The 19,811-nt window shown below is 39.0% G+C and overlaps 1 protein-coding gene across 1 annotated transcript in view; it reads left to right on the forward strand.

Annotated features, from left to right (window-relative positions):
* Positions 1–19,811, forward strand: part of NDFIP1 (Nedd4 family interacting protein 1) — a 45,662-nt gene that overhangs the window by 2,417 nt on the left and 23,434 nt on the right. The window lies entirely within an intron of this gene.

The following is a 19,811-nucleotide window of genomic DNA, read 5'->3' on the forward strand; positions in this document are numbered from 1 at the left end:
TTCATACATTTGCACATGTGTATCATGCACATGTATCTACAAAGGCATGCTAGATAAATAATGAAATAGGTTCATAATTCTATTTTGTAATGTTCTTCACACAATGTTATTAATGTCTTCTATATAAAATATTTTTAATGTCTGCATGGCATGTAATTGTATGGCTGAATCATAATTTAACTAATTGCTTATCTTTGGTCACTAAGAATGTTTACAGTTTTTTTCATTGAAATTTATTTCACATACGTCTTCAACCGTTTCCTTAGCATAAATTACTAGCCATGGAAATGCCTGGTCAGCGAATATGCATTTTTAAAAGGCTTTTGAATTATAGAATGATGGTGAATTGTCCAGGCAACTTGATAGGAGCATGATACTCTTTGGTTGTCACACAGGGCTGTTCTGACTTCTATTTGATCTGGTTAATCAAATTGAGCTAGTTTTCTCACCAAGTAAATGTAATGGAAAACTGTATGATTCATTCATAAATGCAAACACAGTTTTGTCTTTATGGTCTTTTTATTGGTAGTGTAATATGTGGACAACTTGAATTTAGCATAGTGACAGACTATGCAGAAAGGGTAGGCTCAACCAGGTGTGGTGGCTCACACCTGTAATCACAGCACTTTGGGAGGCCGAGGTGGGCGGATCACTTGAGGTCAGGAGTTCGAGACCAGCCTGGCCAACATGGCAAAACCTTGCCTCTACTAAAAATACAAAAATTAGCCAGGTGTGGTGGCACTCACCTGTAATCCCAGCTACTTGGGAGGCTGAGGCAGGAGAATTGCTTGAACCTGGGAGGCAGAAGTTGCAGTGAGCCAAGATTGTGCCACTGAACCCCAGCCTGGGTGACAGAGTGGGACTGTCTCAAAAAAAACCAAAACAAAACAAAACAAAAAATGGCCAGGCAAGGTGGCTCATGCCTGTAATCCCAGCACTTTGGGAGGCCAAGGCAGGCAGATCACAAAGATCACGAGGTCAAGAGATTGAGACCATCCTGGCCAACATGTGAAACCCCATCTCTATTAAAAATACAAAAATTAGCTGGGCGTGGTGGCGTGCACCTGTAGTCCCAGCTACTCAGGAGGCTGAGGCAGGAGAATCGCTTGAACCTGGGAGGCAGATGTTTCAGTGAACTGAGATCGTGCCACTGCACTCCTGCCTGGCGACAGAGCAAGACTCTGTTTAAAAAAAAAAGCACGGTGTGGTGGTGCACATCTGTAACTCCAGCTACTTGGGAGGCTGAGGCAGGAAAATCACTTGAACCCAGGAGGCAGAGTTTGCAGTAGGCTGGGATCGCGCCACTGTACTCCAGGTTGGGTGAGCAAGACTGTCTTAAAAAAAAAAAAAAAAAAAGGCACCGAGGTGGGCGGATCACAAGGTCAGGAGATCGAGACCATCCTGGCTAACATGGTGAAACCCCATCTCTACTAAAAATACAAAAAATTAGTTGGGCGTGGTGGCACGTGCCTGTAGTAGTCCCAGCTACTCGGGAGGCTGAGGCAGGAGAAACCCGGGAGGTGAAGATTGCAGTGAGCCGAGATCGCGCCACTGCACTCCAGGCTGGGCGACGAAGTGAGACTCTGTCCAAAAAAAAAAAAAAGAGGCTAGGCTTATAGGTTCCCCTGGCATTATTTTATTTTTTTTTTCATTTTTGCCTTTTGAAACTGAGACTGTCTCAGACAGTATGGAAGCACTATTTTAGAAAGACCTAAGTAGGCCCATACTGAGTGCTGAGAAACCTGTTGCGTGTTTCTCTCTCTGAGGACGTTAACTCCCGTTCATCCATAGATGAACGCAGATCTTCTGCGGTAGATGTGTGCATGAATTTTGCCAATTCATTTCAAGTATTTTGGGATACTTGGATTTGAATTCAATGTAAGTGGGTGATGATGACACTGCCATGTAGGTTCAAACAGATTACAGAATGTTTAGTTCTGGACTTGCCTCATTACCTGCTAAAGAAGTTGCCCACTTGTGAGCATCACCAATACTCTGTATGATAGTTTGATGACATTATAGTGCAGATTTTGGAATGGTATACTTTTGGATAAATTCTCTCAGGATTATGGAGGAATATTTTGATGAGCATAAGAATTTCATCTCTGATAGGTCAAACCATATTCATGTTAAATTATTAGATGAAGTAATGATCCTGGAGGAAGGAATGAATAGTGCTTATGTGGCTTTTTTGCTTATTTTTCAGTTTCAAAAGAAGTTATATCACAGAATGCCAACATAACCTAAATGTCAAAGTTTCTTAAGTTATATGCTGTATTTGTGGCCTACATGGTCAGTGATCAAAGAAAATTTATAAAAATATTAGGAAGATGGGTAAATTATTCCTTTGAAAACTTTAATTGTGGTAAAATACACATAAAATTTACCATGTTAACCACTTTTAAGTATACAGTTTAGTGGCATTAAGTACATTCACATTGTTGTGGAACCAGTCCATCTCCAGAACTTTGTCACCTTGCAGAACTGAAACTCCATATCCATTAAACAATAACTCTCCATTCCCCCTCCTCCAGCCCCTGGAAGCCACCATTCTACTTTCTATGTATTTGACTACCGTAGGTACCTCTCATAAGTGGAATTAGACAGGATTTGTCCTTTTGTGACTGGCATATGTCACTTAGCATAATGTCTTCAGAGTTCATCCATGTTGTAGCATGTGTCAGAATTTCCTGCCTCTTTAAGGCTGAATAATAGTCCATTTTATATATGTACCACATTTTGTTTATGCATTCATTTGTTGACGGATGCTTGGTTTGCTTCTACCTTTTGGTCATTGTGAGTAATGCTGCTATAAAAAACATGAGTCTACAAATATCTTTCAAGTCCCTGCTTTCAGTTCTTTTGGATATACCCAGAAATGGAATTGCTGGGTCATACGGCAATTCTATTTTTAAGTTTTCGAGAAACTCCCATACTGTTTTCCATGGCAGCTTCACCATTTTATTTTCCCACCAACAATGCATAAGGATTCCAATTTCTCCATATCCTCAACATACTTGTTATGTTCTCTTTTTTGTTTTTGTTTTTTTGATAGTAGCCATCTAATGGGTGTGAAGTGGTATCTCATTGCAGTATTGATCCCTATTTCCCTAATAATTAGCGATGTTGAGCATCTTTTCATGTGCTTATTGGCCATTGATATTTTCTTTAGAGAAAATGTGTATTCATGTTCTTTGTTCATTTTTGAATTGAGTTTTTTGTTGTCGAGTTGTAGGAGTAATTTCTTCATGATGTTTACATTTTCAACTTTTTACTATGGAAATTTCAAACACATACAATAATAAAGTAGTGTAAGAAATTTTATGTACCATCACCCAGCTTCAGCAATTGTGAATGAATGGCCAATATTATTTCACTTATACTCACCACATTATTTTGAAACGAATCCTAGAAATCATATATTGATAAATATTTCTATGTGTAACGCTAAAAGAAAACAAATGGTATGATATTTCAAGAAGATATCACATGAGGAATATATCATGAGAGCTCTCTTGTAATCTGTGAGGAGTATGGAAACAGGATTTGTCAGTGTCGGGCTGTGGATCCATAACTAACTGTCCTTTGTATTGATTGGGCTCACTCTTGCCAAGCCTCATGCTTTGTTTTTGTAGCAGTGATAGATTCCTGTTAATCTATCCTTGTTTTCTTACCTGATCCCATGGGTGACCACTTGTTAGGCAAGATTTATTTGGCTTAATCATACTATCTGTGTCCTGAAAATAGGGCAGTGCTTCCTGGTTTGGGCAGAAACCAAGGCCCAGTTGAACTGCTCTAGGGAATTTTGCTCTAAGCTGATGCCACCAGTAGTTTAACTGCACATAACTTCAAATTGTTTTATCCTAGACATTAATTATATTTCATAATTTTATGGTAGATTATAAAGTAAATCCTACCATGAGAATAACTTCATATTTTTATTAAGAAAGAAAAAAAGTCTCCAAGAGATTCAAGTGACATCCTCAGATTTATTTGTTTTTAGGGCTTTAAAATAATTATTTTGGTTTCTTAAAATGTTCTTGTTTTACCTTTAAGCAAGTACAACAGCTTAGAAGAATTATATTCTTTTTTGTTTGTTTGTTTTGAGATGGAGTGTCTTTCTTCTTGCTCAGGCTGGAAGGCAATGGCGCGATCTCGGCTCACTGCAACCTCCGCCTCCCAGGTTCAAGCGATTCTCCTGCCTCAGCCTCCTGAGTAGCTGGGATTACAGGTGCCCACCACCACGCCCAGCTAATTTTTTGTATTTTTCGTAGAGATGGGGTTTCACCATGTTGGCCAGGCTGGTCTTGAACTCCTGACCTCAAGTGATCTGCCCGCCTCGGTCTCCCAAAGTGCTGGGATTACAGGTGTGAGCCACTGCGCCCGGCCTATATTCTTATAATAATGGACAATTTAGATAAAGCAACTTTAATACTTCTGTTCCATTCATACTGAAAATTGGCATGATGGTTTATCTTTTTTTCAAGTCATTGTTGCCAATAAGCTAGGCAACTGGCAAACATCATGTATGAAATTTTTTGGGCTTGACATACTTTCCAGTGGTAATTGCTTCTAGTGGTTGGCTAGGTGGGGGTATGAGTTAGAGTAGGCTCTGGGTATCCACAGGTTCTACATTCGCAGATTCAACCAACTGCAGATTGAAAATAGGGGAAAATAACCATACAATAATAAATAATAGTGCAAGTAAAATATACACTATAACAGCTATTTTACATAGCATTTACATTGTATTAAGTGTTATAAGTAAAGATGATTTAAAGTACATGAGGTAGGTTATGTGTAAATACTATACCATTTTATGTCAGAGGCTTGTGCATCCTCCCATTTTGGTATCTGTGGGGAGTCCTGGAACCAATTCCCAGTGGATACTGAGGGATGACTGTATGATATGTCTTGTTAACTTGACCAAGAGTGGTAGTAAAGCAAGTGTAACTTGATATCACTTAGCACATCCTGCTGTTACAATAAGGCTTACTCATGATTTTTCTGAATAACATAATTTATATTAAATGTCCTAAATACTAGCACTGATCAAGTTTAAGAGCATTCCTAGTGAAATATTTTCTTATTAATGCAGTTCCCTTCATATGTATATTTATTTATTTATTTCCTTCCTTCCTTCCTTCCTTCCTTCTTTCTCTCTCTCTCTCTCTCTCTTTCTTTCTTTCTTTCAACAGAGTCTTGCTCTGTTCCCCAGGCTGGAGTGCAGTGGCGCAATCTTGGCACACTGCAACCCCTGCCTTCCAGTTTGAAGCCATTCTCCTGCCTCAGCCTCTGGAGTAGCTGGGACTACAGGTGCCCGCCAGCAGGCCCGGCTAATTTTTGTATTTTTAGTAGAGGTGGGGTTTCACCATGTTGGCCAGGCTAGTCTCGAACTCCTGACTTCAAATGATCTACCCACCTTGGCTTACAGAGATTACAGGTGTGAGCCACCATGCCCAGGCTACCTTCATATGTATTTTTCTTTTCTCTTCTCTCCTCTTCTTTTTTATTTATTTATTTATTTATTTTTGAGACAGGGTCTGGTTCTGTCACCTAGGCTGTAGTGCAGTGGTGAGAGCTCTGCTCACTGCAATCTCCGCCTCCTGGGTTCAAGAGATTCTCGTGCCTCAGCTTCCCAAGTAGCTGGTGTTACAGGTGCATGCCACCACGCCTGGCTAATTTTTGTATTTTTAGTAGAGATGGGGTTTCACCACGTTGCCCAGGCTGGTCTCGAACTCCTGGCCTTAAGTGATCTGCCCATCTCTGCCTCCCAAAGTGCTGGGATTACAGGCATGAGCCACCGTGCCCGGCCCATATGTATAATATATTTCTTATCCCCCTCCCCGAGCAATTTAGCATAATCTTTGACCATTTTTCTGTTTTTGTCTTTTAAATTAGTTTATCTCAGCAATATTAATTAGTACTTACCATAATCAAAGGCTTGAATACAATTTGGAGGTCTATCTGGAGACTGGACAATTTATGAATAGAGATATAAGGGTTTAGGGAGTGGTGCCTGTTTAATAATGATTTCATTTTCTTTTTTTGCTTTTTTTTTTTTTTTGAGACGGAGTCTCACTCTGTCGCCAGGCTGGAGTGCAGTGGCGAAATCTCAGCTCACTGCAACCTCCGCCTCCTGGGCTCAAGTGATTCTCCTGCCTCAGTCTCCTGAGTAGCTGGGACTACAGGCGCCCGCTATCACGCCCAGCTAATTTTTTCTATTTTTAGCAGAGGGGGTTTCACCATGTTGGCCAAGATGGTCTCGATCTCTTGACCTCGTGATCCACCCGCCTCCATCTCCCAAAGTGCTGGGATTACAGGTGTGAGCCACTGCGCCTGGCCGATTTCATTTTATCATTCGATGCTTAAATGTGATATTTAAAATTAAGCATTTTGTATTAAATAGTAATACATTCTTCATGTGCTAGATTCAAACAGTAACTTTCTAAAGAAAAACTTGATTTCCCTTTCCTCCCTATCTCTTTGCAGAGCTGTAACTGCTCCTCAAGTTTGGTGTGTGTTCTACAGGCTTTTTTTTTTTTTTTTTTGAGACAGGGCCTCACTCTGCACCCAGGCTGGAGTGCAGCCACATAGTCTCGGCTCACTGCAACCCTCCATCTTCAGGCTTTCTTCTTAACCTTTCCTTGGCTTTAAATGTTTTTTAAATAAATCTGTACTTTCAAATAGACTTTACTTTTTGGAACTTTTTTCCCCCTAAGATGGGTTCCTGCTATGTTGCTACCCAGGCTGGCGTCAAACTCCTTGGCTCAAGCGATCATTCCCCCACTGACCTCCCAAGTAGCTGGGACCACAGGCACACGCCAGCACACCCAGCTGAAACATTTTTAATTTTTCAGAAACACTGAGAAGACAGTAGAGAGTTTCCATATGCCCTATGCCCAGCTTTCCCTATTAGCATCTTATATCAGTATGGTACGGTTTTCACAATTATTGAACCAATATTAGTACATTGTTATCAATTAAAGTCTGTACTTTGTTCAGATTTTCTAAGTTTTTACCTAATGTCCTTTTTCTGTTCCAGGATCCCATCCAGGATCCAGGATGATATAATGTGGTAATGTTACATTTAGTCGTCCTGTCTCCTTAGGCTCTTCTTGGCTGTGAGTTTCTCAAACTTTCCTTGTTTTTGATGAGCTTGACAGTTTTGAGGAGTATTGGTCAGGTCTTTGTAGAATGTCCCTCAATTGGGGTTTGTTTGATGTTTTTCTCATGATTAGACTGGGGCTGTGGATTTGGGGGAAGACCACAGGTAAAGTGCTGTTCTCATCACATCATATCAAGAATGCACACTTTCAACATGACTTATCATTGTTGACATTGACCTTGATCACCTGGCTGAGGTAGTGTTTCTCAGGTTTCTCTTCTGTAAAGATACGTTTTACCCCACTTTCCATACTTACTCTTGGGAAGGAAGTCACTATGCATGGTCCACACATAAGGAGTGGGGAGTTATGTAACACCTCGCTGAGGGCCAAGTATTGACATGAATTATTTGGAATTTCCTGCATGGGGCATTTGTCTCTGCTCTGATAATTTGTTTAGTATTTATATCTGTATAGACTCATAAATATTTATTTTATTCTTCCAATTATCCAATAACTGCTTTATTTTATTGCTTAAATTGCATACCTCCATCATTGTGGATTTTTTTTTAACCACTTCCATACTTTTTGGCACTAGGCTCATCTTATATATTTCCTGCACTATCCTAGAATCAGGCATTTTTCCAAGGAGCCTAGGTTCCTTTTATTGAAAAATAATACTACAAACCAAGATCTGTGCTCCTTGCTACTAGGGTGTCATTGCTTTTAGGCCTTCTAAGCTGACAGAGCAAGGAACTATATATGTCTGTATATTAACCTGTGGGTATACACATCTGTAACTATTTCTGTATGTACCATCTATCTATATTAAGCTAAACATAAGTTCATACTAATATCTCCACCTCTAATTTGTTACCATATGGGTCACTCTAGCCTACTCCCCTTATCTATAAACTCCCACTCCAACATGGAGAAACCTGGCTCACTTCCACCATCCATTTACATCATTCTTCAGTTCTGATATACATGTGTAAGTTGTATCAGAATTATTAACCCACACCCCTGTGGGAAATAGTATTATAACCACTACAGGACAAAGCATATGTACAGTTCCTTTGCCTTTAGTCTTAAAAACTCTACTTATTTCCAAATGTTACTTAGGTCAGCACCTTTTCCTCCACCCACTTGAGTGAGGTTGTTTCAAACATTTATAATACAGTTATCTTGTTTTGTCACATTTTGCATACATCCTCCAGCCACCTAAGTGGATTTTTAAAATTTGCATACCTTGAGATTCTTTCTTTGTGCTATCAAGTTCTATAAATTTTCACAAATGCATAGTGTCTTTTTTTTTCTTTTTAAACAACACGTTTTAAGAAAAATGGTAGGACTGATTTTTCTTTATTTTCCAAACTTTCTGCTAATGATCATGTTTGCTTTCTTTTTAAAGTACCTTTAAAGAAAATTTTATTTAGAAATAATTTTAAACTTAGAGAAGGTTGCAAGAATAGTATAACATAACACTCATATATCTATTACCAAATTCATCTTAGACTTATTGTTAAATTTTGATTAACAATGAATACAATCCTATAAAAATTGAAAGCGCTACAGATAAAACCCAAGTCCCTTTAATCATCACAGTCCTTTCTCTATAGAATTCAGTGTTGATTTAGCTACTTGTTGTCAAATTATTATTATTATTATTTTTGAGACGGAGTCTCGCTCTGTTGTCCAGGCTGGAGTGCAGTGGTGCCATCTCAGCTCACTGCAATCTCTGCCTCCCGGGTTGAAGCAATTCTCCTGCCTCAGCCTCCCGAGTAGTTGGGATTACAGGCACGCACCACAATGTCCAGCTAATTCTTGTATTTTTAGTAGAGACGGGGTTTCACTATGTTGGTCAGGCTGGTCTCAAACTCCTGACCTCAGGCAATCTGCCCACCTCAGCCTCCCAAAGTGCTGGGATTACAGGCATGAGCCACTGCACCCGGCCCAAACTTTCTTTCTGTTTATAAATCTCGTCTACAGCCATACCACTCTGAACATGCCCAATCTCGTCTGTTTATAAATCTCATTTTCACTTGTACTTCTACCAGTACCTGGTGCCACCAGTTCTTGAGCTTTTGGGGGATACAAAACAGGTTGTTTTTTGGCTTTCTGGTTTAGGATTTAGCTTTCTTGGGTCTGCTGAGTCAGTTACCACTTGTCATCCTGCTTCTAGCTTTCAGAAATTTATTGCTGCTTCCTTTCCTGTTGCTTGTAAGTTTTTTTGCCTTTAAACAAACAACATTTTACTCACATTTATATTTAAGAGGGTTTCAGGAGGAATAAGAGGCAACTGTCTAATCTTTAATTGGACATTATACAGTAAGTGTAATTCTTTGTGTTTCATTTGCTAAACTTGCAGACTTAGTGAGGCCAAAAACACCAGCCATGTCACTGTTCTGTCCCCAGACCCCACATCAGTTGTGGCCTGACACATTTAATGAGAGTTGTTAAATTAACCTAGCAGTTGAATACTTGTAGAATGAAACATTCTGTGATGATAGTGTAACAGGAAAGGTATTAAATGCTTGATGCACCTACTTTTTGGCTCTCTTTGTTCTTGAAGGAAGAGGGGACCTCATGACCAGGCCTGAATCAAGGTGGACTCTCCTGAATAGAATACCTTTTCCCACCCATAATGTCTACCTGAGTATGCTCTACTCCAGGCTAATGAGCAAGCATAGCTTTTGGAACTTCTCACTATCAGAGCTGAGCAGGCTGCAGTCAACATGCAAGCCTGGGTTCTAGGCATGGCTCTGTCACTGTCTTTCAGTGTCTACATTTGATTTCACTGTCTTTTCAATGTGGAATATTCCATTCTTGGGATATACTAATTGGTTGTTTTTAGAAGAAACAATATTGTAGGAATTACATTGTGATCAAGATAAGTTTTCCTTCATATATAATACAAACTTTAATTGAACACCTGAGCACTTAATGCTAAGTGCTGTAGGTTGAATACTAAATGTTAAACATTTCTCATTTCTAAAGAGATAAAGGTTGGAGATGCCTGTTTCTCCTTTGTGTTTCTTTTCTGTTATTTCTTTCTAAAATTGGTAACTATAAAGCCATACTATTCTTTTCATTTTTATTGTGAAATTATGGATACATATGAAAGGAATACATAGTATAGATATACCTTGTGCAAAATAACAATAATAAATCAGAGACCTGTGACTGCCATCCAAATCATAGCAATCTTTTTTGAAAGTTTGTTTGTTTCACACGTATTCTTTTAGACCAGTCAGTAGGAGAGAGCTGCTTTTGCCTTAGTTGCTTTGTAAGGCCATGTTTCTCCTCAACTCTTCCATGTTTAAAATGCACTCCTTGTGCTGAGTACTGATGGGGATACCATACCTGCTGTTCTCCTCTCCTGAAACCATCATCACTGTCCTCTCTACAGTTATAGCAGTCATCTGTGTATGGCTACATGCATAGCCTGTGAATTTATTTGGAGATTTGTAAAGTAATATGAATACTTTTCATAGATGCGAACTGGTAAGTTAAAATGGTATTAAGATTAGCTGCTATTTCTTCAGCTAAGTTTCTGTTAGAAATCCACCTCCATGCCTGTTTTGGCCAACACTCACTAATGTATCCATGCTGTGCCACTCACTGGTAAGTGCTGGGGTGAACGCAGTGATAAACCATGCAAAGGTCTCAGTCCACAGAGGGCTCACAGTCTGCATCACTATTCCTCGTACAGTCTTTTTCTTCTCCCATTTCTGAATTGTTAGTGAAGTATGATTTATGTATAAAAACATGTACAATCACAAATGTGCAGCTCAATGAATTTTCACAAACTGAACATGCACAGCTAACTAGTACTTAAATCCAGAAACAGCATTGCCAGCACTCCAAAAGATCCCTTCAGTGCCTTTCCAGTCACTCTCCTCCCGGGACATACTCACTGGTATGTTTAGTTTGCCTGTTCTTTAAAAAAATCTTTATATGAATCTAATCATACAGTAAATACTGTTTTGAGTCTGGCTTCTTTTGCTCAACATGATGTTGCAAAATTTACCCATGTGGGTTACAGTTTATTCATGCACACTGCTGTCTCATTATGTGAAAATACCACAATTTATTTACCTATTCTACTGTAGATAGGCATTTGAATAATTTCCAGTTTTATGAATACTGTTGCTTTTTCCCTCCTTATGTGTCTTTTGGTATCATATGTAAATGTTTCTGTTGGACATATAACTAGGAGTGGAATTGCTGGATATGTGTAAATTCATTTTTTGTTGATATTAGCAAACAGTTTTCTAAAGTAGTTGTACAGGTTTATACTCCCATCAGTAGTGTAGTGCGAGAATTCTGGTTATTATATATTCTCAACAACATTTGGTATTTTCTGTTTTTTATTTTGGTCATCATCTGTGGTTTTAATTTTCATTTCTATAATGACTAATGAAATAGAGCACCTTTTTGTAAGTTTATTGGCCATTTAGATATCTTTTTTTGTGAAATGTCTATTCAAGTCTTGTCCCTTTTTTTATTGAATGGCTTCCTTATTGATTTTAAGAAGTTCTTTATATATTTTGGATATAAGTCCATTGTCTGAAAAATATATCCTCCCGCTCTTTGGATTTTCTTTTCACTTTCCTAATGGTGTCTTCTGAATGAATAGTAGAGTTCTCGTGTGTGTGTTTTGGTTTTGTTTTGTGTTTTAGGCAGAGTCTCGCTCTGTTGCCCAGGCTGGAGTGCAGTGGGGTAATCTCGGCTCACTGCAACCTCTACCTCCCAGGTTGCAGTGATTCTCGTGCCTCAGCCTCCCAAGTAGCTGGGACTACAGGGGCATGCCACCACACCCAGCTAATTTTTCTATTTTTAGTAGAGATGGGGTTTCACCATGTTGGCCAGGCTGGTCTCAAACTCCTGATCTCAAGTGATCGTCCCACCTCGGCCTCCCAAAGTGCTGGTATTACAGGCATGAGCCACTGTGCCTGGCCCAAACAAGTGATTTTTAAAATTGTTCTTGAAATCTAAAAGAATTATTTTTTTTAAGAGGCAGGGTCTTGCTATGTTGCCCAGGCTGGTCTTGAACTCCTGGGCTCAAGCAGTCCTTCCACCTCAGCCTCCCAAAGTGCTGGGATTACAGGTGAGATCCACCATGTCCAGCCATAAAATAATTCTTGAATAGATGCCAGTTGTAGTCCATGGTCTTTTGTGACTTTTTTTTCTCCTTTGGAAGGAGCTGCTTAATGTATCATTTTAAATGACAAATAATTAGGAGCTTGTTTGTGCTTCCATGTTTCTATTTTAGAGCTTTAACATATCTTAGATGAAATCTATATACGGGGTCTTGAGAGGTTAAAACAGAATGTATTTACCACCTTTGCATTTAAATTATGGACTAGATTTTATATAAATTATTTTAAAATGAGTCTGATACAGCCATTATTTTTAGTATTGTTTACTCTGTAAACAAAAGATGACCAGTTCCTGCTATTCTGTCAAAGTCAGGGAGCCAGGTGTGTAGTCTCCTTTTCAACTTGTCTTTCTCTAGGGCTTTAAATCCTTCTCAAATGGGCCCTGGAGCTCTGAGCTAAGCCTGAATTTTCTTATGGAACCAAGAAGTGGAGAAAAAGAACTCACATTACTGAGGATATGGACTGGTTATAAATAGTGTAGATGCTACTTCTTAATTTAAAATGCTATATGTTCATGAGCAGCTAGACTTGCTATTAACTATTTGGAAATATTGAACAATTGTCGCTCCTTATTTCCGTAGTCTTTGTAAGATCATGACCCATCAAGGACCTACCGTTAACCTCAAAGGCTCTTGGCTGTAGGTTTTCCTCAAGCTGGGTGCCAGAAAACAGAGGATTATTTGCTTGATAATATCTTGGTGGAGCCATCAGTACTAGAAATATTTGGATGTCAGACACAGATCCCAGGGGTTGGCAGGTTGATGATAATTTTCTGGTGCCACCCCAAAACCTTGCAGTGCTACTACCATAACCATGGTTGGCTAATTAGTGCCTTCGGGGATGAGGGTTGATTTCTGCTAGTTCCTTGCCTTTCTCTTTGGATGGCATGCCTTCACTTGTTACTTGGACCTATGTAAAGAATAGGAAGATCAGAAGAAAACCATAAAATTGATGATCATAGGTCACAGTATTTGTGCTTTCATTTCTAAGGACTCATTCTAACATAAATAATTTTCTCTTTCAAAACCAAGGTGTACTCATCAGTTATATTGATACATATTAACAGTGATGATAACCACAAAAATTTTAAATAGAAAGCTTTACAAACGGTTAGCTTTGTGAGGGGATTTACTGCAAAATTAGGGTATTCTTTTCATCTGTTATTGTATTGACTTTTTAAAACATTATTCTGATTACTTAGTTTTTCCTTTGGCAAATTTTGATTTTTAAATGTGTTTTCATTTTGCTATTGAGAGGATTTTCATTTATCTTTTCCATGGGAGATATTGAGGATAGTCTAACTCTGGTAATTGGTTTGGTGGGTTTTTCTTTTCTTTTTTTTGGCTCCCTATGAGCAACTTGAAGATTTTTTTTTTTTTGAGACGGAGTCTCGCCTCTGTCGCCCAGGCGGGAGTGCAGTGGCGCAATCTCGGCTCACTGCAAGCTCCACCTCCCGGGTTCACACCATTCTCCTGCCTCAGCCTCCCAAGTAGCTGGGACTACAGGTGCCCACCATCACGCCCAGCTAATTTTTTTGTATTTTTAGTAGAGATGGGGTTTCACCTTGTTAGCCAGGATGGTCTCGATCTCCTAACCTCGTGATCTGCCTGCCTCGGCCTCCCAAAGTGCTGGGATTACCCACACCCGGCCTCTTGTACTGTAATGTTTTTAAGGTTCATCCATATTTCAGCATGTGTCAGTATCTCATTTTTTCTGGGTGAATAATATTTCATTGTACAGATAAGCCACATTTTGTCGATCCCTTCGTAAGTTGATGAACATTGTTGGCTATTATGGATAATGCTACTGTGAAGATTCATGTACCAGTTTTTGTGTGAACTTGTTTTCAGTTCTCTTGGGTATATACCTTGGAGTGGAATTGCTTGATGTTAATATAAATCTGTGTTGCTGTTTTTGTTTGAGACAGGATCTCACTCTGTTGCTCAGACTGAGCAACAGACTAGACTGGACTCACTGCAGCCTTGAACTCCTTGGCTAAAGTGATCCTCCTGTCTCAGCGTCTTGAGTAGCTGGATCACAGGTGTGCCGCCATGCCTGGCTAATTTTTAAATTTTTAGTAGAGACAGGATCTTGCTGTGTTGCCCAGGCTGGTCTCAGACTCCTGGCCTCAAGTGATCCTCCTGCCTCAGCCTCCCAAAGTGCTGGGATTGCAGGCTGAGCCACTGTGTTTTCAGCCTATGTTTAACTTATTTTGAGGAACTGCCAAACTTTTCCACAGCAGCTGTACCATTTTACATTCCCACCAGCAGTGTATTAGAGTTCCCGTTTCTCCACATACTCAGCACTTGTTATTGTCTGTCTTTTTTATTATAGCCATCCTAGTAAGCATGAAGTGGTATTGAGTCTTGGTTTTGATTTGCGTTTTCCTGCTGACTTAATGATGTTGAGCATTTTGTGTCTACTGGCCTTTTGTATATCTTCTTTGGAGAAATGTCTGTTCAAATCATTTGCCCATTTTATAATTGGGTTGCCTTTTTATTGTTTAGTCTCTCTTATCTTGTCAGAATTATTTAAAATATCTTCCCCTAATTAATAACAATTAGATAGAGAATTTTTCTTGAATGTAAATAATTTGGTGATGTTAGAATAACAGAGTTTATATTTACAATATATAAAGTAAATGTACAGGCCACACAAACTTAATGATTATTTCTGAACAGCAGTAAAATAGCATACTCAGCTGTTTACCAAAAGAAATGTGCTTGTTTACTTTTTGTAATTATACTGCCTTGTTTTGGTAGGATTTAGGGACTATGCAGAAGTAGTGGGTTGGTAATGAGAGCTTTAAAAATTGCATTTTAAGGTAAAAGTTTTAGCAATTAACTCTAAGATAGAAGTAGTAAATAACATTCAAAACTAGAGTTCAAGCATTGACCCAGAATTTTCTGATATTTATTTTTAATAACTTAAAGAAGGGACTTGAAACTTACAAGAATTTTCTTGCTGTTTAAATATGACCAAACCAAGAAAAAATTAAGTAGTGAAAATACTTGCAACTTTATGGACTTACTGGATACTTCAGCATTATTTTTCACGTGCTTTGTTTGTTTGTTTGTATGAATTCTGAGGTGTATGTTGATACCTTTTCTCATATATAAGGATTTATGGGTTTTGTTTAGTGTAGGGTTTTTTGTTGTTCTCTCATTCTTAGTAAATATAGATAATCCAAGAATGACTTTTAAGTGCCTTTAGGTCCTGCCATTTGCTACAGTTATAAATGTTGCCCCTTGCTTAGCCCTAATCCTAGCCCCAGCTCTGCTATTGCTTAAAAACAACTCATTTTAGAACTGCTTAGTGAGGAGGGCGGTGGTGAAGCTTTCTTGCTGATTGGGAACTCAAATAATAGTTTAAATCTGTAGGGTATAATGTCTTAAACGTGTTAAATTCAAGTTTGTTTCTATTAGAATTAGAACTATATATGATTTCTGTGTTGGAGATTCATAAAAATGTCATATTTATTTTTAATAACAATAGGACCTAGATACAGAGGAAGGTGATAAGGAGGGAAAAAAAAACGCTCTATTTTATTTTATTTATTTATTTATTTTTGAGACAGAATCTCACTTTGTCGCCCAGGCTGAAGTGCAGTGGCTTGATCTCAGCTTACTGTAACCTCCACCTCCCCGGATCAAGTGATTCTCGTGCCTAAGCCTCCCGAGTAGTTGGGACTACAGGTGCATGCCACCACACCTGGTTGATTTTTGTATTTTTAGTAGAGACGAGATTTTACCATGTTGGCCAGGCTGGTCTCAAACTCCTGACCTCAAGTGATCCGCCCACCTCAGCCTCCCAAAGTGCTGGGATTACAGGTGTGACTTGAGAACAAAACCTTAGTAGCACCTATTTGTAAATAAATGTTTTCTTAAAATTGAAGGTCATCAAGGCCAAAGGCACCATGGCAGATTGTGACATATCTGAAGTAGGAAGAGTTTTAGGGTTCTTCTGGGGAGCCATTCTAGTCTGCTCAGCACATAGAAGGGAGCAAAGGTAATCAGGAAAAGAGTAATGGCACACTCTGGGTGTGAGAAAGTGAAAGGTCATCTGAATTCTCAGGTGATTGGATTATTTATTTCTTAGCGATGGAGGCATAGGTAGTTATAGGTAGTTCTGTATTAAACTCTACTTTGTATGGCCTGTGTAGGTAATTGTATAGCTGTATTTGGAAAAAATGCCATTTAAATCATATTTCAGCCGGGTATGGTGGCTCACGCCTATAATCCCAGCGCTTTGGGAGGCTGAGGCAGGCGGATCACTTGAGGTCAGGAGTTTGGTACCAACCTGGCCAACATGGCACAACCCCATCTCTACTAAAAATACAAAAATTAGCCAGGTATGGTGGTGCATGCCTGTAATCCCAACTACTTGGGAGGCTGAGGCGGAAGAATCACTTGAACCCAGGAGGCAGAGGTTGCAGTGAGCCAAGATGGTACCACTGCACTCCAGCCTGGGTGACAGAGTGAGATTCTGTCTCAAAAAAATAAATCATATTTGAAGTTTAGTAAAATTGGTCAGAAATTATATGACAGGAAAAAAAATCCAGTGTCCAACAGCTATTTATTATCTATCACAGTCACTCAAAGGATATCCCCCCTACCCTTGCCCAACATCTCTGTGCACTGAGAGCAGAAGTTCCCAGATCTGTCCCAGTTTTCAGATCTGTCTCTCTGAGTATCCCCTACAACCCAGATTCTGTGACAGTTAAATTGGACTCGGGCTTCCACTGACCCAGTTGATGGAAGAGACTGAGCATCTTTCCAACTCTAACCCAAACGTGACAATGCCGCGTATTCTTTCAGAAAGTGTCAGGAAAGAGCCCGAAGATCCCTGAGCTCCAGGGACATGGCAGGGAGGCTGCACAGAAGGGTTCCCAGGGGTGGAAAAGGGGAATCTTAAAAATAAATTTTGGAACCAAGTAATCAATTTTATAGCACACTCTAGTTCTAGCGCACATGGTTCCTCCACTTGTTAGTGAATGCCTGACTTGTTGCCCCTGAAGTGTAAAAAGATGTATATTTAAGGATTCCATTGTTCAGCAAGTTATTATGCATGCAGATGGCAGGCACTAAGTGCTTACTCTTTTTGAAGGTGATTGCCTCTCCCCGCGATCCCCCTACATTGCAGTGTTTTGTTTTAAACAGCTTTCTTGATGGAGCCTAATCTTATCACCAGCATTATAGAAATAAGCCAGAGTGAGAAGCCTGTACAGTGAGGTCTTGGGATTATACCATAGTCATAATGGTGTTTTAAATTGTTTTTATTTTTCAATTGAAAAAAGTACACTATTCTAAAGTAGTGAATTTTAGTGGAGCAAACTCTTCACCTGGAAGTGTTTTTTTCCTTACCAAAGTGAAAATTGGTGGTTCTAAGAAGGCTGGAATTTATTTGCACTGTCATCTTTTACTATGGTGGGGGATGATCAAATTTAACATTTCCAAGTTTCCAGGAGACAGGCAGCCTATCTTATAAATATTGTCATAGAAGACCTCTTAACCTCTTTGTTCTTTGGATTTCTGTATTTCTTAGAATTGTCATGCTTCCTTTCTGAGACCTAAATTATGCAGGGGTAACGTGATTACTTTGACACCAAGCTCAGGAAATATAAAACGGGTTAAGTATAAACCAAGCTAGGTTTAAATGAAGTTCATTACTGGCTACAGTATATTAAGGGAACATATTCGAAAAGTCTGTATTTGCCTTTGTTCTTGCTGCTGACTCTTCTGCTTCTTTTGGTGACCTTCCCACAGCACAAGAGTGGTTAGGTGTGAGGAGGCTAAGAATACCTTGCCAAGAGCTTCAAATAATGTTAAAACCAGTATTTTAGGTGAACCATGGTCCCAAGAACTCTATTTAAGTAATTCCTAGTTCGGTGTCCCAGGAGCATTTGGCTTTACTGCACCTATTTTGGCCACATGTCTTTGTTTAAAAGGAAAAATTATCTTAGGTTATAATACAGCTATTTTGGGAGTACCTTAAGTTTAACATTAGATTACTAGGATTCGAAAAAATGTACCCAGATGGTAGATGCTGATGAGAATTTGACACAAGAATTCATTTGAAATTGAAGCTTTTGTAGTATTAGTCAGAAAAATTTATTGACATCTGGTTTTGAACAGCATAGTGAGTGGAGATTGAGATGATCAGTTAAAATTTAATGGATTGTGGCCGGGCACAATGGCTCACGCCTGTAATTCCAGCACTTTGGGAGGCTAAGGCAGGCATATCACCTGAGGTCGGGAGTTTGAGACGAGCCTGGCCCACGTCTACTAAAAATACAAAAATTAGCCAGGTCTGGTGGCATACGCCTGTAGTCCCAGCTACTTGGAGTCTGAGGCAACAGAATTGCTTGAACCTGGGAGGTGGAGGTTTCAGTGAGCCGAGATCCCACCATTGCTCTCCAGCCTGGGCAACAAAAGCGAAACTACATCTCAAAAAAAAAAAAAAAAAAAGAAAGAAAGAAAATTTAATGGATTATGGAGCTCTACTTCACATTAGTACACCTCGGTCTCTCTGTTTTTCTGTCTCAATTCAAGATAGAGTTCTTTGTAGCGGTATGGTTTAGAGGTGGTATGTATTTTACAAGTATGTCAGTTGGCTCTGTATATCCTGATGATACCGAAGCCAGGACCAGACCCCTACGTCAGTTATATCACTAAATATTCTGTTATTAATTTTCAGATTGGCTCCTAGTCCCAGCCAACTCATGTTTTAAATTAATATAGTTCATTGTCACACTGGACTGGAAAAACCAAATGAAATGTCTTTATTCTATGAAGATGACTTGTGTAGACTATACAGACTAGCAACAGCAGACACTTTCAGTGCGAGTTATTTTAAAAAATTGAAGATTTGACTGGCAGAAAAGTTGCTGAGATAGGGAAAAGGGATATCTATTGACAGATATATGTAGAATTAGGGAGAATTTTATGTTTTCATAAGTGTCTCAATTATTTAAGATTTAATTTGGTGTGCATGTGGAATATAATGGTAACATGGTTTGTCTGTGATTTGTCTTTTGTCTTAACAGATTATTTTTCTAACTTTAAAAAAGTATACATCACTTGAGGCCAGGAGTTTTAAACCAGTCTGGGCAACACAGGAAGACCCCATCTCTACAAAACATAAATTTTAAAAAAAGTTAGCCAGGGTCACAGTGTGCCATAATTGTGCCACTGCACTCCTGCCTGGACAACAAGAGTGAGATCCTGTCTCTCCAAAAAAAAAAAAGTATGCAAGTGATAAATATTCACTACAAAATATTTGAACATGCAGATACACAACAAAAAGGAAAAATTCCCCTGTACTCCTATTACCTAGAAATAACAGTGTTGAACTGTAAATGTCTCATTCTAGGCCTCCTTTCCATTATATGTCTGCCTTTTTAAAAAGGATTATATGATGCCTATTGTTTGGCAAGTTTAGCTTTTTTCATGTAATAATAGTACACTGTAAATATCTATTTGAGTAATGAAATTTAATTTTTTTTTTTTTAAAGACATGGTCTCTCTCATGCCCCAGGCTGGAG

This window comes from Homo sapiens, chromosome 5 (genome assembly GCF_000001405.40).
Source record: "Homo sapiens chromosome 5, GRCh38.p14 Primary Assembly".
In the NCBI taxonomy this organism is placed as follows: Eukaryota; Metazoa; Chordata; class Mammalia; order Primates; family Hominidae; genus Homo; species Homo sapiens.